The sequence below is a fragment of the Homo sapiens genome, chromosome 13 (assembly GCF_000001405.40).
Source record: "Homo sapiens chromosome 13, GRCh38.p14 Primary Assembly".
NCBI lineage: Eukaryota > Metazoa > Chordata > Mammalia > Primates > Hominidae > Homo > Homo sapiens.
The window spans coordinates 58713266-58735800 of NC_000013.11; the positions used below are offsets into that span (position 1 = coordinate 58713266).

Sequence of the window (22535 nt, forward strand, 5' to 3'; positions counted from 1 at the left end):
AAAACAGAATCAATATTAAGAAATTAATGGATGGCCGAGTTTCAATAGAAATTTTGAATGAATTTAGGGGATTCCAGAGACAAAAAGTCTTTTGCCAGACTTCCCAGTTCAGTTATAGAGAAATAATTTTATTTTGGTATGCATTATTATATGTGTGTGAAAATTAAAAACAAACAAAAAAATTTCATCCCAAAAGAAACTTCTTTGACATGTTTCAGAATGGCAATTCAGAGAGCCTGCAGACAAGAATAGTCCTGAAAAGCTGCCTTTTGTCAGAGGCTTGCATCTGTAGAGAAAATCTGCATTGGTGAAACAAACAGCCAGGCTTTCCCTGAGGTCCCCTCCCTTTTTGTTTAGATCTAGGAAAGATTAACTTAAAATCTGACCCCTTTGAAAGACTGACAGAGAAGCTTTATCACAGGTTACCATGTATGTCTTCTGAGACCTGCTATCTGTGAGGTTTTATCTGTATAACAAGACTGTCTTTGCTCCATGCCTTTCTCTCTTCCACTCATAACCTATCTTGCCATGCTGCAAGCCCCCTATTCTTTTTGTAACCTCAAGATGGTATAAAAGCATCAATTATCTAGCCTTTTCTTTGGGTTATCATATTTTGTATGACTCCCATATAATGTTGAGAGGTGACAGCATGCTGGCAGTCCTCAGAGCCCTCGCTTGCTCTCGGCACCTCCCCTGCCTGGGCTCCCACTTTGGTGGCATTTGAGGAGCCCTTCAGTCCCCCACTGCACTGTGGGAGCCCCTTTCTGGGCTGGCCAAGGCCGGAGCCCACTCCCTCAGCTGGCAGGGAGGTGTGGAGGGAGAGACAGGAGCGGGAACCGGGGCTGCGTGCGGCGCTTGCGGGCCAGCTGGAGTTCCGGGTGGGCGTGGGCTTGTGGGCCCCGCACTCGGAGCAGCCAGCCAGCCCTGCTGGCCCCGGGCAATGGGGGACTTAGCACCCGGGCCAGTGGCTGCAGAGGGTGTACTGGGTCCCCCAGCAGTGCTGGCCCACCGGCGCTGCGCTCGATTTCTCGCCGGGCCTTGGCTGCCTTCCCACGGGGCAGGGCTCAGGACCTGCAGCCCGCCATGCCTGAGCCTCCCACCCCCTCCGTGGGCTCCTGTGCAGCCCGAGCCTCCCTGACGAGCGCCAGCCCCTGCTCCACGGCGCCCAGTCCCATCGACCACCCAAGGGCTGAGGAATGCGAGCGCACGGCGCAGGACTGGCAGGCAGCTCCACCTGCAGCCCCGGTGCGGGATCCACTAGGTGAAGCCAGCTGGGCTCCTGAGTCTGGTGGGGACGTGGAGAGTCTTTATATCTAGCTCAGGGATTGTAAATACACCAATCAGCACCCTGTGTTTAGCTCAAGGTTTGTGCCAATCGACACTCTGTATCTAGCTGCTCTGGTGAGGACGTGGAGAACCTTTATGTCTAGCTCAAGGATTGTAAATACACCAATCGGCACTCTGTATCTAGCTCAAGGTTTGTAAACACACCAATCAGCACCCTGTGTTTAGCTCAAGGTTTGTGAGTGCACCAATCGACACTCTGTATCTAGCTGCTCTGGTGGGGCCTTGGAGAACCTGTGTGTGGAAACTCTGTATCTAACTAATCTGATGGGGAAGTGGAGAACCTTTGTATCTAGCTCAGGGATTGTAAATGCACCAATCAGCACCCTGAAAAAACAGGCCACTCGGCTCTACCAATCAGCAGGATGTGGGTGGGGCCAGATAAGAGAATAAAAGCAGGCTGCACGAGCCAGCATTGGCAACCTGCTCGGATCCCCTTCCACAGTGTGGAAGGTTTGTTCTTTTGCTCTTTGCAATAAATCTTGCTACTGCTCACTGTTTGGGTCCATGCTGCTTTTATGAGCTGTAACACTCACTGCGAAGGTCTGCAGCTTCACTCCTCAGCCAGCGAGACCACGAACCCACCAGAAGGAAGAAACTCCAAACACATCTGAACATCAGAAGGGACAGACTCCAGATGCGCCGCCTTAAGAGCTGTAACACTCACCGCGAGGCTCCGCGGCTTCATTCTTGAAGTCAGTGAGACCAAGAACCCACCAATTCCGGACACAATGTGGGCATGTTAATAAATTTTGTGTGTCTCTTCTCCTATTAATCTGCCTTTTGTCAGTTCATTTTCAGTGAACCTTCAGAGAATGATGGGCAGGTTTTCCCTTGGCCCCCACAGTTTTGGCACTGTGAGCAGGATACCAAAACCACTCTGTTCTTCTGGAAGCCACAGCCCAGGGAACCTAGGATCTGAGAAGTTCACAAAAGGGTAAGAAATTCTTACTAGTGAGACTCCCAGTCTTTCTCTATAGAATCCAGTGGAGCAAATGATAAAAATCACTCTACCGTTTCCCTTTCAAACTTGAGACTGATGGGAGTAAAGCATTTATAGAGAGTAGTCTTAGGTGTACAAATTCTGGTGTATATTTTGTATGAATATTTACATTGTCTGATCCTTTTCCTCCCAGAAATAGTCGTTATTTTCTGCCTTGTCTCTGTCTTACTGTGTTTTGTCATAAAGAGGGTTACCATAGACCCTGAAATAGAAATTGGGTAAGATTCCTTTCTCGTTTTATTTTATGTTGTTGAGAACTTGGCTTGTGACAAAGTGGGAACATTCTCTCTTGGTCTCAGCCTTCTGTGGGGCATGATTTGGGTCACGTCCAGTGGCCAGTCTGAAAAGAGTAGGAACCCAAGACATGTAAGATATTGAACAGTACACTCTTTATCAAATCTGCCAAACTCTCTAGGGAGTTTGCCTTCATGAGGAGTCCTATCCATAAGGGGCTTTTGTGATCTCAATCCTTGTTGCCTGGTTAGTCTTGGGGAAGTCCAATCCCAGGAGAGCCTACCCAGTGCCACAGATTAACAAGTCAGTGACTGGTGCCCCCCATCACAGATTTGTGGGATACTGGAGGCAGCATACACGCAAACGCCATCTTTAACCTTCTATAGCAACAAAAGTATTTTGCTATTCTAGCCTATTTCCAGGAGTGAATTTTTCTGGGGATCATGGGAGGATTCATCCTCTGCACCCATTTTAAAGACATTACTTACATCTATGGTAATCCAAACCTGAAAAGTTATCTCTGGAAGTTTTCATGACAAAGACCTATTGCTTTGAGTCACTTATAGAATAAATAAATTGGCTATATTTAAAAGAAAACTTTTTAGAGAGCTTTTATCTTAAACAGCTATCTTTTTGTACCTATGAAAAGATATAAAATGAATTTATAGACTTACAACCTTCTTTGGCAAGAATAAAAGAAAAAAGCAGAAATCAGATTTAAAACAAAAGTAAATTTTTTTTTGCATACACAAACTTCCTACTTTGGATCTTTTGCAGAATCTGCAAAAAGACCTATAGTCTAGTGGCTTGGAATTTATGTCTGTACTACTGTGGCCTGGGTTAAATTCCTGACCAGGGTAAAAGTCCCTTGGAAACATTAATAAAAAAATAGTTTGATATTTGCATATCTGTACCCATTTATTTTGTAATCCTTTGTACCCCCATAGATAGCTTTTGACTTCCACTTGTCCTGACTATTTTTAAATTTCCTGTGTGTATGGAACACAGGTTGTCAGGTCTTTGCAGACATTCAACTGAGAAACTGAAACCCTAGAGAACATGCTGGACAGAAATGTAGGATGTGCTCCATTTGTGGCTGGTGAAATTTTCTTTCTTTGAACTGTTGTTTGGAGTTGTCTGAATCTTGGGAAGGTTGAAGCTTTTACTCCCTCTTTGGAGACCTTGGGATAGCCAAGAAGGGCTTTTTGGTTTTGTTCTCATGTGTACTTATTTCTTTTTGTTTGGACTTATGTATTTAGGTATACCTTTGACTTAAAACTTTGGTTTGTATTTTGTGTGGAATAACAACTTGCTTTCCATTGTTTTGTTTCCTATCCTTGATTGGAAAGACACACTTCCTGCCACTGCTGAGAACTGACTGGTGAGTGGATGAGGCAAACATCTTCCCAGGTCATGAGGGGAAAGGCTGCTGGTAAGACACCATTCCCTAGGTTCCGGTGAAAGGCTGACTGCTCATGGGACAGAGCTTGCTGTGTGTATATTTAAAATATTTTTAAGTGAGTTGTACGGTCAAAAGTTGGCTTAACTAAAAGCTGATATTTAGGTCATAATTTTTTAAGGGCCTTTCTGCTTTTTCTCTCTTGTATCCTGTTTCACCCCTGAAAAAATTTTCAGCTGACTAAAATATATATATATATATTAAGTTTGGTGGATAATTGTGTAGGACCTAAGGGAAAACTTACCCTTTTTTCTCTAAAGATTCACTAAAAATCAATGGACAAGAGGCAGATCAATAGGAGTAAAGTCATACAAAATTGACTAACATGCATGTGTGTTCATGGCAGTCATACAAAATATGAAAACTCAAAGGGCCAAGTAACAGACACCTTTATATCATGTTGAGGTAACAAAAAGAATCGGGGCTTGGAGCTTGGTAAAACAGGTTATGGGAGGGAGGGAAAGAGAAGGGCATGGGGCAAGAATAGCCTTGTTGTATAGATAAAACCTCACAGGTAGCAGCTTTCAGAAAGAATAGATGTTATCTCTGATAAAGCTTCTCTCTCTCTCTATATATATAAAACATATGTATATAACATATATATATCTAATTATATGATCTGTCCCTCTGTTTGCTTCCTTTCTTGTTGGCATGATTTTTGCTGACAAAAGGTAAAATTTCATTAGCCTTTTGGAGAGGTTTAAGATCTCTCCAAATTGTCTCCTCTGAGACTTGTTCTCCCATTTACTTGTACTCCTCCTTTTCTTGCCACCTTTGATACCACATGAAAAGCTCTAAAGGGGACTTCTGGCAGCCCAGAATCCCCCTGAGGAACACAGAAAAAAAGGTGCCATACACATCTTTTTGGGGTGGTTCTGTCTTCCCCGTGAAGCCCCAAGAGTCACGGGCAGTGATGTCTCAGGACTAACACTCTACTTCCTTTTGCATTGAGTTCCCTGACCTCTTTGGCTTTTGGGAATACTGGAGATTGTTTTGTGTTATGAGAGACCACTTGATCTTCGGGTGTATGATGGCTGGTAAGGCACTAGCAAAAGCTAAAGTTTGGGAGGTGCCTCACAGAGGTTGCAGTGAATGGATATCTTTGCCTGTCTCTTATCTGTAAACATGTAAACATGTAACCCAAGTCTCTACACAGCTGCCAATCCTACCTTAATAAGCTTTCTAAAAGTAAAGTTTAAAATGGGGGACTAAAGAAAACCAAAAATATTTATCCCAAAATATACTTCTTTGACATCTTTCAAGGTGGCTATTCAGAGGAGCTGCAGACAAGAATAGCCTTGAAAAGCTGCCTTTTGTGGAAGAAACTTGCATCTGTAGAGTAAATCTGCATTGGTGAAATGAACAGCCACGCTTTCCCTGACGCCGCCACATACTTTATCCAGATCTAGAAAAGACTAACTGAAAATCTGACACTTTTGAATGTCTGGCAGAGAAGCTTTATCAGAGACTAACATCTATTCTTTCTGAAAGCTGCTACCTGTGAGGTTTTATCTATACAACAAGGTTATTCTTGCCCCATGCCCTTCTCTTTCCCTCCCTCCCATAACCTGTTTTACCAAGCTCCAAGCCCCGATTCTTTTTGTTACCTCAACATGATATAAAGGTGTCTGTTACTTGGCCCTTTGAGTTTTCATATTTTGTATGACTGCCATGAACAAACATGCATGTTAGTCAATTTTGTATGACTTTACTCCTATTGATCTGCCTCTTGTCCATTGATTTTTAGTGAATCTTTAGAGAAAAAAGGGTAAGTTTTCCCTTAGGTCCTACACAATTATCCACCAAACTTAATTGCTTTAAAATGAGAAACTGAATACATAAGTGTATATAACATATTTTGCAAGTTTAGCTGTGTCTGAGGCAGAAAATGGAGCAATACCTAGAAAGACGACAAAAGGACAATTCATTTATTTTCTTTTTTTCTCTTTCTCTTTCTCTTCCTCTCTCCCTTTCATTCTGTACTGGAGAGACTTAGCTTGTGTTGAAGTCTGAATGGAAGCCATTTATGGATATGCAAAGAGGAATGGATAATTGATGAAGCATGGTAACAAAGATTATTTTCATCTGAGTACAAAGATAAAGGTAAGACTGGGTGAAGATTCAGCCATGTTTGAGAATTGAGTGACAGGCAGTCACAGGCAAGAAGATTCTGGAACAATACAGAAGTAGAGGCAAAAACTATAACTACTCATATCTTTTGCCCCTGTAGACTATAACTATTATAACTAATAAAGCCTTTGAGTTTCAAATTACCAAAGCACAGGCCTTTTTTCCTTATTAGGTAAAATTTAGACTTTTTTTTTTTTGAGACAGCGTCTCACTTTGTCGCCCAGGCTGGAGTACAGTGGTGTGGTCTTGGCTCACTGCAGCCTCTCCCTCCTGGGCTCAAGTAATTGTCCCACCTCAGCCTCCCAAGTAGCTGGGACTGCAGGTTGGTGCCACCACACCGGCTAATTTTTTGTACTTTTGGTAGAAAAAGTTGCCATGTTGCCCAGATTGGTCTCAAACTCCTGGGCTCCAGCGATCCCCCTGCCTCAGCCTCCAAAAACGTTACAATTACAGGTGTGAGCCACTGCACCCAGCCAATTTAGACTGTTTTTAGGGAAATACTGGTTTATTACTTTATTATCCTGTGTATAGAAAGCCTGAGAAATTAGAAAATGCCCTCACTGAACAGGCAGAGGTGTAAACCATGAAGCAAGTCGCTAAATTTCCCTGAATTTTATTGGAATTCCTCTGAATTTTATTAGAAAAATATGAAAGAGGATAGTCAGTAAAAGCCTGGAAAGAGGCTACTGGCAGACAATAAAACTTAAAGATAGATAGAGTAAATAAAGCCAGGCTAGGGGTTTTAGGTTTTTGAGGTAGTAGGGTGCAGCAGAGGGGGTAGAGTCAGAATATGGGATGTGATTGAAGATATTTGATCAGAGAAAGGTTGTGATAAAATGTTATGATACTGTGTGTGTGTGTGTGTGTGTGTGTGTGTGTATTTTAATAGGACAAAGGCAGTGGTTCTTTAGCTGATAATGAATTATGTATGGATTATCTGGAGATGGATATAGGTAGGTAACTATTGCAAGAGTCTGAGCAAGAAATTATAATTGCCTAGACTTAGTGCAGATACCTAATCAAGTAATATTTACAAGGACCTTGATATTGATTACATGGTGCATATAAGATAAGTCAAGTATTTCTTTTACATTTCTTACAGTAAGATAAAATAGGTAGTTAAAATATAGTCATAACATAGAAGAGCAAATTGCAAATTGGACACATTTTTGAAAAAAACAAATCTATGCTTACAATATTATCTTAAGATTATTTTAAAATGTCGTGTAGTCTATTAATATACTTAAAAGATATGCATGTATTTTGCAGGTTTTGCTTGTTTTTTTAAGTATTATCAATACACGCAAAATCCTATATTTAACTTCATGCAAATATGAGCAGAGAGTTTCTCAACAGGCACCACATAAGGGCTCAGATACACTAAACTAACCTTAAATTTTTCTCTTTTGTGCATAACTTGGTCCTTTTTGTTATTTCAGATTTTATTTGACTTTATCTTTTATATATTTTATCAAACAATATGTCTGTAATATCATTTCCACAGAGCCATTTTATTTTGAAAGTGGCAAAAAGAGGGGCACGTCCATTCTAGTGCTAATATTTTCTTATTAATTACTCTCTTCAAATAAGTTTCACGGGGGTTGATTCACTTGAATTTAAAACAGAAAAGAAATACTTCCCAGAAAACATACCACGTCCCTCCCTCCAGCTTGAGTGCTGCTTAGAAAATTGCTAAAGTACTTGGATAGAATGGAATACACGGTATTATTTCTCAGAAATTTAAAAATAAATTTGACAGTTGAAGTTTTTGTGCCATTATGTTGACCTTTATAATCTAAACATTGGGAAATAGAACGTGTGATTATGTTTTAATTAGTCTATTGACAATTTACATTACAGAAGAGGACAAAAATGCTTTTAAGATGAGATAATGCAAAGGAGAGGGCTGACTATTTTGTTTTTAAAATCTTGTACTCTTTGTAACAGCCTAAAGAAATGCATATTTTACTCTCCTAGGTTATCAGGAGAACCACAATTAGAGAATTTTACTTTAATGTGTTCACAAATGATTCATAATACCCAGTATAATGAGGAGTTCAAAATAACATTACGCAATCATAACTATACCTCTTATTACATTGACAATCTTTATTTTACATTATAAAGAAACTCCAGACTTCCATAGTTTTTTTGAATGGCTCTTAGACCTAATGGGGAAAACATGTCCCATTTCTACATGTGCTATATACCTACCAGAGCACCTCAAGTGTATCTTACCAATAAAATTGAAAAGTCAGGTGAAATGGAGATGTTTTTGCTTATTTTGTTTTGTTTTTAATGCTTTGAAGATGTTTAGTCTACAATTCTATGTTTTCTTTATGAGCATTTAAGTTGAATGGAAATGTAAAACCAAATTAGAGGCTGGTCATTTCATAGGGGTTGTATGTAGGCTGCTACTAACACAAAACCTAGGGAGTTTGCTTTTAATTCCCAGGTGCGTAACAGAAGCAGGAGCTAAAGATATGTCATATATATATATATATATATACAAAGACAAATTTCAAAGGAGTAAAAGGCATAATAATAATATTAATCATAATAATATAAGGACCTATGAAGAAAACAAAGGAATTTCTTTTTATCTAAATCAAGGAAAATACTCCCATTAAGTAGCATTTGGAATACAGAAGCAATGAAAGAGGAAAAAAAAAGGGATAAAATCATTTACAAAGCAAAGTCATCATAAATAAAGTAAAAAATAAAATTAAAATTAAACTAAAACATTTGCAATTAATGTCACAAAGGATAATATTCCAAGTATAAAGAGTTTTTAATGCTTGAGAATAAAAGAATCACAATCTTAATGAGATACAGATCTGAGAAAGCAATTCAGAGAATTTTAAAGAAAACTACAAATGCCCTTTACATTTATAAAAAGATACATCTCAGTCAAAAGAAGATACATATAAATTGAAACAAAAACAAGATATTAAATGTAACTTATTATTGGCAAAACTCCAAAGTTTCATAACATACTCTGCTGTGGGTGTGGGGAATCATGTATGCTTCTATTCTGGCAATATGAAATGATTATGCAAAATGTTTTATAGTGGCATTATTTGTCATAACAAAAATTAGAAACAATCCGTTAATAGAAACCTGAGTAAGTTATGGAGTATAACCACATATTAAACATGCAGTTGTAAAAAGTAATGAGAAGATTTCTTCTTGTCGTATGGATATATGGTTAAGTTTTAAAAGTAAGGTATAAAATAGTATGCAAAGAGTTGTATTTACACATATACACATTTTTAACTGCAAAAATAAACATTACATTAACACTTGCAGAAAAGCATTTGCTGATAGCCAACACACTTTCTTGATCAAAACTCTCAGCAAACTAGGAATACAAGGTAACTTCCTAAATCTGAAAAAAAGTATCTACAAAAAACTCAGTGCTAACATCCAACTTAATGGTGGAAGACTGAATATTCTCTTTAAAAGAACAGAAATAAGGAAGTCTAGTCTCATAACTTCCATTCAATATTGTACTGGAGGTTCTAGTCAGTAAAATAAGGCAAGAAAAAAGAGGTACCAGAATAGAGTTAGCAATTTTGTGGGATATAAAATCAAAATACACATTTTTGTTTTTATACTAGCAGCAAATATTAAAAATTTTAAAATGCCATTTACAAGAGCATCAAAAATATGAAATATAAATAAATATGGCAAATTAGGAAGCCCAGTACATACATATATATATATATATATACACACACACACACATATATATATATAAAACATTGCTTAGAGAATTTAAAGAAGACCTAAGTAAATGAAGAAATATACCATCTTGATGGGTATAAAGACCAAATATCACCAAGATGTCAATTTAACCGAAATTGATCTACAAATTTGATGCAATCCCAATAAAAAACCCAGCAGGGCTTTTTAAAAATAGAAAGTGACAAACTGATTTTACAATGTCTATACAAATTCAAATGACCTAGAACAGTCTAACCAATATTGAAAAAGAAGAAAACATTTGGAAAACAAACACTACTTAATTTCTTTTTTTTTTTTCTTTGAGACGCAGTCTTGCACTGTTGCCCAGGCTGGGGTGCTGTGGTGCGATCTTGGCTCACTGCATCCCCCACCTCCTGGGTTCAAGCGATTCTCCTGTCTCAGCCTCCCAAGTGGCTGGGACTACAGGTGCCTGCCACCACGTCTGGCTAATTTTTTGTGTTTTTAGTAGCGACGGGGTATCACCATATTGGTCAGGCTGGTCTTGATCCTGACCTCAAGTGATCTGCCCGCCTAGGCCTCCCAAAGTGCTGGAATTACAGGCGTGAGCCACCACGCCTGGCAACACTACTTAATTTCAAAACTTAACAGTATAGCTACCATAATCAAGACAAAAATCAAGACAGTGTGATACCGGTATAAAGGCAGATGAGTAGAAAAATAGAATGCAGTAGGGTCCAAGAGAGATTTGCATGTATATCGATAACTAACATATTATTGTCAAAACTCTAACTCTACAGTACATATGGGAAAACATGCATTCTTCTACTCTGGCAGTATGAAATGATTATGCAAAATGTTGTTTCATACTGGCATTATTCATCATAACAAAAACTGTTATGACATCAACAAAAGAAATGATACCGGAAAATATGCAAGAAAACAACCTTCAACCCGTAATTTGCACTATATACAAAACATTAATTAAAAATGGATAGTAGACCTAAATGTAAAATCTAAAATTATAAAACTCCTAGAAGAAAACATAGGAGTAAAAACTCTGTCATCTTGGGTTATGAAATATTTATTTAATATAATAGTAAAACATGATTTATAAGAAAGACACCTTTTTTGTTTGTTTGTTTGTTTTCAGATGGAGTTGTACTCTGTTGCCCAGGCTGGAGTGCAGTGGCGTGATCTCAGCTCACTGCAACCTCCGCCTCCCAGGTTCAAGCAATTCTTCTGCCTCAGCTTCCCAAGTAGCTGGGACTACACCGGGCTAATTTTTGTAGTTTTTTAGTAGAGATGGGGTTTCACTATGTTGGCCAGGCTAGTCTCAAACAGCTGACCTCGAGTGATCCACACTCCTCAGCCTCCCACAGTGCTGATATTACAGGCTTGAGCCACCGTACCTGGCCAAAAGACACTTTTAAGAGAGAGAAAAGACTATCCACAAATAGGAAGGATATATTCGCAATGTATATATCTAATAAATTCTTGTATCCAAAACGTGAATTATTCTCAAAACACAATAATAAGAAAATCAGCAACACGATAAAAATGGGCTAAGTATTTGAACAAACACTTTCTCAGAAAGATATGCAGATAGCAAATAAGCACATGACAATGCCAAAATGCAGTAGTCAAGCACATACCTATTAGAATGTCTAAAAGTTGAGAAAACATAATTTTTCTATACTGCTGTTGGGAATTTAAAATACTACAATCACTTTGTATAACAGTTTCACAGTTATTGAAAAAATTAAACATACACCTATCATCAAATCTAGCAATTCTACTCCAATATTTGCCCAAAAGTAATGAAAGCATACATACTTACAAAATTCTGTACATAAATGTTCTTTGCAACTTTATTTGTAATACCCATAAACTGAAAATAATTTAAATGTCCATATGCTGATGAATGAATAAAGAAATGTGATTCATCCTTCCTATGGAATACTACTCAGCAATAAGGTGCAGTAAGACATATTAATACAGACAGTATTGATCCATCTCAAAATCATTATGCCAAGTATGAGAACTCAAACACAAAAGACATGTACTATAAAATTTCAATTATGTGCAATTCTGTAAAAGGCAAAACTGTAGAGACAGAAAGCAGATCAGCAGTTGCCTAGTGAATGGGCATAGAATGGAGAAGGAGCTGGTGGCAGGAGTGTGGAGGGGAGAATTATACAGGCTTAAGGAAATTTGGGGGGATGATGATTATGTTCATTTTCTTGATTGTGGGGATGACTTCATGGGTGTATAGATGTGTTGAAACATCTAATTGTACACTTTCAAAATGTGTAGTTTGCCAAATGTTAACATCTTAATAAAGCTGAGAAAATAAAATAACAAGAAAAATGACACAGGAACTCACAAAAACCAGCTTCCAGTGGCCAGATATCGAACAATCTGATCATTGGAAAGAATAATAGCTACAGTGGATTGACCCATATTGAAATAGAAAAACTCCTAATTTCAAAATGATACTCATAAAAGAGATAATGGGAAAAAAAGCAAGAAAAGTTCTTAATATTTATCCTATATTTTTTCTATGCAAACTATTTCAGGATAACCAAATAGATCAATCTGAGTATTAAAAGTTATTACATATAGAAAGAAAATTTTGAGCTAATAAATGATAAATGTGAAATAACTGTTTCAGACAAAGTTCATTAAGGAACAAAATGTTAGATAAATGATCTCTGACAATCACTCTGTGACTAACCAATCTGTAACTTCCCAATAAAGTAGAGGGCAAGAAGATTCTAAGAAGATAATTTATAAAAGAACTTCTACTGCTCAAAATATTTATTTATGTTCTTTACTGAATAGAGTTGCTTTCAGCTTTCTTACTATTATCTTTGCGTGTGTGTTAGTATTTACTAAATTGCTATACACATTTCTATCTTATATGCTGTAGAAATATATTTTACATGTCTTTCTAATATATGAAGAAATATTAAGCAAAATTTATAATTCTATTTAAAATAGAGTTTTGGAATAGAAGTGATTCTCCAAAAGGTGATCTATTTATTTTTCAAGAAAGTGAAAACTTTAAAATTTAGATGCATAAAAGACACTAAAACTGTGATTTGTTTTCAGGGAATTAACGAAGCATAGAGCAAATGTAATTAATTATAAAATTCAGTAGGAAATTAGATGAAAATATGACTCGTAATCTAAAAAGTAAAAGTCTGCTAATTAACACTCAAACTCAGAAGACACCTGAAATGGTTTCTTACAAATATGTCTTTATTGTATACACAATGAAGAAAATCCCATTTTTGTCAGGTTTGCCCTCATTTCTGGTAAATTATTTATATGTATTCAAATACACCAATTTAAATATTTCTATTTAAAGAGCCTAGGAAAATAATTTTTCATTACATAGAATCATAAAAATGAACGAATGTGTTCTTCTGCCTTGTTCGTTTATTTCCCCCATGAAACCTCATTTGATACTGTACTTTAAGTGGAAATGAATATCCCCAAACTAAGGAAAATAGGTCATTTGCAAGGCTTTTCTTCCAGTTTCATAAAAATCTGCAGTAATGGGCTCTGGTACAAAGGCTTCACAAACCTAGTGGTTAGAATATTTTTCTTTATTCTTCAAAAATATTTCCTTTTGTTTCATTTTGTGTGAAAATTGTGAAAGGAAAATAAATCTTACGGCCCCCAAATCACTAAGCTAAAGGGAAAAGCCAAGCTAGGAACCACTTAGGGCAAACCTGCCTCTTGTTCTATACAAAGTTACCCCTCTGCTCACTGAGATAAATGCAGATTTGATTGCCTCCTTTGGAGAGGCTTATTAAAGAATGCAACCCTTTGTCTCTTATCTACCTATGACCCGGATGCCCTCTCCCTGCTTCGAGTCTTCTGATCTTTGCTTCGAGTTGTCCCACCTTTCCAGACCAAACCAGTGTTCATCTGACATACGTTGATTGATGTCTCAGGTCTCCCTAAAATGTGTAAAACCAAACCATGCTCTGACTGCCCTGGGCACATGTCGTCAGGACCTCCTGAGGCAGTGTCACTGGTGCGCGTCCTCAACCTTGGCAAAATAAACTTTCTAAATTAGCTGAGACCTGTCTCAGATACTCGGAGTTCATAAAATCCAAAGTGTTTTTATATTCTCCTCAGTCGAGTTCAGCAAATAAATATGGAATATCATAAGAATAATGAATACTGTTTGTCAATTGTTTAATTTGTGACAGGCATATGCACAATATGCTCACCTTACAACAACCTCAGATGGACTTGCCATCTCCAGTTTATAGTGGGTGAGACTATACAGAAAGTCTGAGTAGACCCCCCGCCCCTCCAAAATACAAAATTCAACCCCAACAGGGTTAGGAAACACTCTTCAATACAATTTTCAGCCACCACCGGGCCCTCACTCCTGGGTGGCAAAATTAATGTCTGTTCTTGACAAGACAACAGTGAATAACAATACAGGCTTTGCTCCCTACGCACGTGGAATGAGGGAGCAGGCAGGTGACATATTATTCAAAAATTCCTTATCTCACTTAGGCTCCATTTCCTCTCCTGTTAAATGCAATTAACAAGATAGCAGGGTTACTAGAAGAATAACCTTAGACAATGTGTGTGAAACGTCGGGCACAGAGTAGGCACTCATGAAATTTCTGTTCTCCTCTATTCCATAAGTCTGTAAAAAGGAAGAGATTTAGAACAAAGGAAAGAATTCTGAAGGCAAATTAATTTTTAAAAACTTCCAGTGATGTTTATTTATGATGGAATTTCAGTTTAAAGAGTAAAATACTTCACATTCTCAATAAAAAGTCTAAAAAATCACTAGTACACAAAATTCACTCTTAACAAAATTACTTTAATGACTGGTGGTAAATGTGCTCTTGAATATTGGACGATTTGAGAGTAGCAAAGTGCTTTATTCTTACAAGGATCATTTGTTCTGTATTTGACAAAAACGAACATTTCATTCTGTTTTACTTTTAAATGGGTATTATTGTCTTTGATATTTGACACTGTCAATTAAAATGTCACACCAATCAGAAAAGCCCATTCATACTTAATAGGTAGACTGCAGAACAGAATGTACCTTTGACTGATTTACGGCTTGAAAATCCTACATAAACAACGTTGATATTTCCATTTTTACCAAGTATCAGCATAAGACATTTCACAACTGTTGTTTAAGCAAAACACAACTGTTCATCGCTATAAAAAACAGTAGCAAGTAACAGAATGTTAGTTTAAAAAAATACTGCCTATTTACTAAAAATGAGTAGTTGTTACAGTAGTATGTTTTAACCTTTAACTTGGTAAGCTTTATGTTCATTAACCATCAAAACATACTGTTTGAATTTGAAGTTGTTGGAACTGAGGGCTATGATTTAGAATATTTTTGGGCAATGTTTACTAGTTGTATTTTTATGAGTGAAACTGATCATTAGCATATGAACCTTGTAAGTATAGATCCTAAATGCTCTTTGTCAGAGCCTTGATAGCATCTTCTCCTGAACTTGAATTCTGAATATCTTGATGTTGCTTGTTCTCATTTAAATGTTAATATGGTCAATAAGTTTAATTGCATAACAACTTTCATATCAAGCTTATTTCTAATTAAGTACTTCAAAATAAAGAACAAACTTTCTAAACATTTTACAGGTATAATATTGCTATACAATCATGTGAAGAAATTTCAAATACCCAGAGACAACTTCATGAGAAGAAATTGCTCTTATTCTCTCGCCTTTAGATTGATGGGTTAGAAATTACACCTCTTTCTCTATGCTAGGACTGCTTTTTATGAGGGGAGTGTGTGTGTGTGTGTGTGTGTGTGTGTGTGTGTGTGTTGCTGATCAGGTTATCAGGACAGAAATTCAAGAGGAAATACATTACCCTTGAGTTCTGGGGAACTTAGACAGATTTATGGAATGTATTTGTGTGCTCAAGCATATCAAGACCTGCATAAAAACCAGTGCATTCCCGAAACTCAAAATCATTTAGTAATCTCTCTTACATCCCATCTCTTTATCAAGGAGATCCACCCCACAACCATCACTAAAGCTTCAAAAGCCTATCATTTAAAACAAATCTCTAGGCAATCCCTTGTTTTTAATATCAGAGGCTTATTACTTGTGCTTTAAATATAGACACTAATATGGAAATTTGGATTTTAAAAACCTTATGTTTATATGCACATATACAACTGAAGCAAAGGCTATTAAACATCTTTGGCTTTTTAATTGCAATCTCTCTGGGCTTTATGTCTTTTAAAAAAAAATCTGGTAAAGCCAGCAAACAGTAGTGTCAAACTAAAGGTCAGACTAATACCTGGGAAGGTGCAGCAATGGATTTAATGGGGCAAACTGATGAAACTAAGTCAGCTTAATTCAAAGCAGCAGGAGCAACAGATGCTGTTGCCTTTGTTTATTTTCCCTTGTTGCCAGATGGAAAAGGAAAAATAAATACTAGAACGGAGAAGAAAGCTGCTGAGTTGTGTTTCTACTCCATCTTAGCTTGCTGCAAAATTTCAATATGCAAAGTGCTCCAGTGATCTAAGCAAAGTAGTTTGTTTTGGAGTGGACTTTGCATCCCTGGTAACTATCTCTACCTTAGAAATAGAAGTAGCAATAGGATGGTAATCACCTATATAAAGCTCAGTTGTTTTATCTCATGCAAAATGAGGTAATTATAATATATTCAATTTTCTGAAAAGTCTTAAGGCAATTATGAATGTATGCATGCCAAGACTAGACTGTATACTTTTTGAAGGCAAAGATTCTGTCTTGTTATTATTATACTTTGAGCAACCTGCATTACACAAGCAGTAGATACTAGTGAGTAAATGGCTAGGATCCAACATGGAATCAATTTTGTTTTCCCAATATTATTGAAGAATTCTTGAGTACTCATTCTATACTTGTCATAAGAGTCCTCTTTTGCACTTCTTTTTGTAATAGTACTGCTGAGGCCATGTAATCTAAAGTGGAGTCCATAAATTTTGAATTTAATAATTATTTATCCAGGAGCTGGCATAAGCCAGGAAGGTTTAGGCAATGGAGATACAGTAGTAAACACTAAAACTCATGGAACTTATCTTAAAAGCAATGAACACAATAAACAAACGAGATAGTGTTTATGTTAGCTTGGACTCCCTAGGAGATGAAGTCAAAGAGTAATTGCTGACTCTTCAGTGAGATGTGTAATACTATGGAAGAAGGAGTGAAGGAAAAGTTCAGTGTGTTGGGAGAGAATGGGAGCAAATACATGATGATGTGTTATCCAGGTAGCCACTGCTTCACTGTCATGATCATTCGTCTAGGAGGGATCATTCTGGAGAGGATTGAGGGAAAACTAGGAGCAGTCATTGGGAGATAGGAAGGGAAATTATCTGCCTATCTTTAGCTCCCTTACTATTTTCTAGCTTTCATTGGAGAAAGTTCCCCCAAGGGAGTTGTGAGAGTGGTAGAGATGGTTAAATCCCAATTTCAGTACTTCTGGAATACCTGGCCCCTTGGAGCAGCTGCTGGGGAAGCCAGATCCCGTGTCTCATGGTATGGAGCTTCTTTGGGGTTTGGTAATTACCATGATCTCTGTAGGTCATATTGGGAGGACATAGATGTCATTATAAACACTTTATAAATGCAGTATTTGACCCAGCACTGAGCATGTAGCTCAAATCAGTGGGCTAATTCATTCCCTGGATATGTTATTCTCACCTAAGAGGGAGAAGTTTCATTTCTGAGGTTACTCAGGGTCAATGATGTAATCTTTGGGTTGCTATTGTGGGCTTTGAAAAAATATAAATTTTATGAAATTTAGTATAGATCTGGCAATAAATCAAATAAATAGTTATAAATAAAATATATACCAAATAATGTCTCTCTGTCTGTCTTGTAGGCATTAACTGAAATAAAACCTTGGGATAAGCACTTAATAGCTTACCTTAGTTTAGTTTTGCACCAAAGCATTCTATAAACTCTAAATATTCAAATTCTGTTTTAAAAGTATTTCCTTAAATATATGTAAACCACATGCAATATATTAGTGCTGAAAGAAAAATAGAAACTGAGATTTTCATCATACATCAATGCAGACCTAATAAATTAACATACACCAGAAGGTCTCCTTTCTTTTCTATGGCATCTAATTACTCTAAATATATTAGTGCATATATTTGCATAATTGTTTCACATATTGCTTAGCACTCTTAAACATCCACTTAAAAGATGTACATATTATTCTGTATCATTTAATTCATTGAAGATTTCAATCCATCCAACATGTAATTGAAAATATATACAGTATTTGAGTATGCTTATAGATATATGCATATATATTCAAGCGTTAGAAATGCATTGTGTTTGGTAATTTGAATATGCAAATTAGTCTTGATGAACGCTAAGAGGGCTTTCTATCCTGGCCTTGTTTGTTCAGATATTTTAACTCATTCATCTCCCTAAAAATCTCATAGAAGATTTTATTGAAACTTCCCTCAAATATATTCCAAAGCTTATATGGTGGCCTACAGGACAGAATCCAACAGGAAGAGAGGCCTACTGTATCGAAAAATTACAAAATCAAAATTAAAATTTAAGCTTACCTTCAGAAATATAGACAAAAATGAAGGAGTAAAAGGAGAAAGAAATAATAATACATGTTAATAAGTTACTAACTTCTAATCGCAAGTTATTCTGTCATACCAGTTCAATCAACAAATTGGTACAGAAAATAATATCAGACACTTAGGAATGCTAAATATTTGTAAATAAATTCATTTACAAAATGAACAAAAAAACAAAAAGTTAGGTTTAATAGTTTAGTATTTTATCAGAGAAAATTGGAGAGATTTGTAGAATTTAACCAACAACAGAAATAATTCAGAAAATATTAAGAAACATTGTAGATTAAACTATGACAAATTACCTTGATATGCCAAATGTAAGAAAAAGCTAAGTGTATTCAAGACACATATAAGCAACAACAAAAAAGATGTACGTATATACATAAAAGGCAACTTTTGAGAGTTTGGGCCAAAATCCCAGAAGACACAATCCTGTATGCCATAATGCTGAATGTTGAAATCCTGAAAGATAAAAGTCTCTAAAGTCAAAAATCTCAAAAAATATAATCCCAAGAGATCAAAACTGCAAAAATATAATTCTGGAAAAATAATGTTTACACATTATTTAAAAGATATTTATTTACATTTTTTAAAGACAGTTTATCTGAAAACATAAAAACATGACAGAAAACTTTATAGGTCACTAGGCAATAGCAATGTACATATTTTTGCAAGCATAAACACTCAGGTATACTAAGGATGTTTCATGAGTATAACAGTTATGAGTAGACAAACTGTATTCATAAAGAGGTAGGTCAAAAAGCAAGAGGTATAAACACATATCACTATGGTTGGTAATTATGTGCACCCAGCCTTAAAATTGCGGTCATTTAAATATTCTGATAGATAATCTGAGTCTTTTGACGAGATTGATCAAAAATCCAGATGTGTCACCATGACATATGCAATCACCCAAAGAACAAAGATCTCAGAAAATTCTGTTTTTCACAAATACAGATTCACAAAAAAAGAAATATCTCCCTGTGCTAAGAAATTTCAAACAGTTTTATGTACACACACAATGCTTACACATAAACTCAACATTGTGATAATGCACTTTTATGGAGTCGAATCTGCCAAAAATGTATGAAGTTAATTAGAAATCTCTAAAAGTCTTGACACAATTTATACCTCCAGTATTAGAAATGCTGCAAAGATAAAATATATAGCCTAGCAAATTTGCGCCGTGTGTGAATGGGCAGAAGTTGTACACAATTGAATAATTTGGCATGGACGATTTCTTGTATTTTTCACCTACATTCTCACTTCTATGATCCTCTAAACACTTGCTGCACTTGTATTTTAGAGAGTGATTGTGGTCTATTTCGTAAGAATATGCTATCCGTTTGAAAGTCTGGTTATTGCTCAGCTGTTGCAATTAAGTGATTTTCTGCTTTCACAGCACCAGTAATAATTAGCTTTTAAACTTTTATCTTTCACCATTAAGTAGCCTCATACACTTAACTTATCACCGCTTTTTTTGTGAGGGGGGCAATTTCATGGTGTTGTAAGGAATATAATAAGAAGGAATTATATTCGGCTTTCCCAGTACCAAATCAGTATTAGTCAGGGTTTTCCAAAGAACCAATAGGGTATGTATATAGATACATAAGGCGGGAAATTTTTAGGGGAATTAGCTCAGACAATTATGGTGGCTGTGAAATCCTATGACTGCCATCTGCAAACTGGAGACCCTGGGATATCAGTAGCATGGCTTAGTCCAAGTCCAAAGACCTCAGAGTCAGGAAAGCTGCTGGTGTAACTGAAAACCTCAGGACCCAGGGGGCCACTGGTATAAATCTTGGAGTCCAACGCTCAATGAGCCTGAAGTTCTGATGTCAAAGGCAGCAAAGGTCTGTCTCAGCTCTCAGAGAGAGAATTCACTTTCTGTATTATTGTCTTCAGGTCCCTGGCCAATTGGATGATGCCCAACAATACTGAGGGAATACCTTCCCCACTGAATCCACTCAGACTCACACCCTAATCTACCCTGGAAACATCCACACAGATACACCCCAAATAAAGTTTTACCAGGTTTCTATATATTCCTTAGTCAGTCAAGTTGACACCTAAAGTCCACAAGTCCACCCCTTGTCAACTTGGCAACTGTATACATCTCCTTAACTGAAACTTAATATCCAAATAAAGACAATAACAAGGTAATAGTTTTGGCTAACATGATGCAATTATCCTGCATACAACCAAAAACACACTAATTCTTTCCCCAGAATTTAGCTTTAATGATTTCAACATTCAGGATTTTAATATTTCAGCATTGTAATTTTTAGGATTTTAAAAACTAGAGATTTTAGACTTCAAGGATTTTGATTTTTTAGGATTTCAACATTATGGATTATGGCATTAGGAATTGTGTCTTTTGGGATTATGATCAGCACCAACCTTTTGGAACATGAGTTCCTTAAAAACAGCCAAGTTTGTATAGTACTTAATGTAAGTATCTGCTATTGATTAAATCTTTGTGTCTTCCCAAAATTCATACGTTAAAACCTAATCCTCAATGTTATCATATTTGGAGATGGAGCCTTTGCAAGTTGATTAAATCATGGGGGTGGAGCCTTTTTAAGTGGGATTTATTCCCTTATAAAAAGAGAATCCAGATAGATCCCTCATCTTTTCTGCCATATGAGGACACAAGAAGAAGGCAGCCATCTGTGAACAAGAAAGTGGGACTTCATTAGACACCAAATAGGTTGGCACCTGGATCTTGGACTTCCCAGTCTCCAGACTGTGAGAAATAATTTTCTGTTGTTTGTAAGCCACCATGCTATGATATTTTGGTATAGCAGCCTAAACTGAATAAGACACCTGTAAAGTAATCAAATAATGTTATATTGAAAACATAACAGAGCACGGAAGATCCTACATAAGTTGTTATTCTGAAAACCAGACTCCCCAAATTTTGAACTTTGGGAAATTTATGGCATAAAATTCAACAGCTATTTTTAAAGTTTGCTATATAATAGATATTATTTTATTTTTTTACTAAGAACAACCATATATAAATATATCCTTTTCCTTGTAAAAAGAACAAGTCTGTATATGTGAGTGTACACACACACATACACACACATATAATATACACTTACACACATGTACACACATATATACACACGCACATATGTACACACAAACATATATATATATAAAATAATTTTAACGTTTTAATTTTGGTAGCCTGTGAAATCTCAGTAATCTATACTGAGTTTTGCTAAAACTCAGAGTTAAAAAGAGCACAAGAAATTAGTCTGTAGAACTGTATTATTTACACTGATGTCCATGGTGACAAATCTTTAATATCCCAACAGATGGCTCTCCACAATTCCACCACGAGTGTCTGACTTTTCTAGTCACATCGATCCCTAGCTGTTGAAGTCTTTTGTGTCTTACATTATTTTTATTAACCTACCCTGAATCTAGCCTGTTACGTGTTCTCCAAAACAACCATACTGTTTTGGTTGCATATGTTCTTTTATTGGAAGTATCTAGGAAAATTTCCCCCCTACATTGTCCTTCCTCTTTTTTTCAATATTTTTAACCAATGTAATGAATACTGTAGTTCCACGCAGAACCATTTTTAAAAGTCTATCACTCTAACCCCAAATTCTGGAAATAGAAACTGGTGGCAGATGATAGCTCCGCCCCACGTTGAGGATTGTCTTTGGCCACGAGGAACCCCCTTGCTCAGAGGCCACCACAGCCAATGACAGACTGATATAAAGAAACAAAAGGTTAGCCTCTGTGTTACAAATTGGTACAAATAGGTTTTAAAAAATTATCCCATATCCAGGACTCTGAATAATAACTAAACTTTCAGTCACAATTGCATTAAGGGTCAACTTCACCTTCTGCCCAGTCCAATGTTCCTCACTTTCTTACAAATATGTTACACAAGACCAATCACTCCTCAGTGAATATTCTTCATGCAACTTCCCATCTCAGAAGCCATTTCCAGAAAATCCACTCTAAGAACTTAATGTTCTAATATATATGAAAAGCAGAGAAGGAGCATACTTTGTTAC

General features: G+C 36.6%; 1 long non-coding RNA gene across 2 annotated transcripts in view; it reads left to right on the forward strand.

Annotated features, from left to right (window-relative positions):
* Positions 1-2000: 2000 nt before the first annotated feature.
* Positions 2001-22535, forward strand: part of LOC105370220 (uncharacterized) — a 49062-nt gene continuing 28527 nt past the window's right edge. The window contains exons 1-4 of one of the 2 annotated variants that reach the window (XR_941987.3): positions 2001-2039; positions 2135-2281; positions 3931-4013; positions 6029-6143. This is a non-coding gene — a long non-coding RNA (uncharacterized LOC105370220). The remainder of the gene's footprint in view (positions 2040-2134; positions 2282-3930; positions 4014-6028; positions 6144-22535) is intronic. The other variant, XR_941989.3, reaches the window with a different exon arrangement.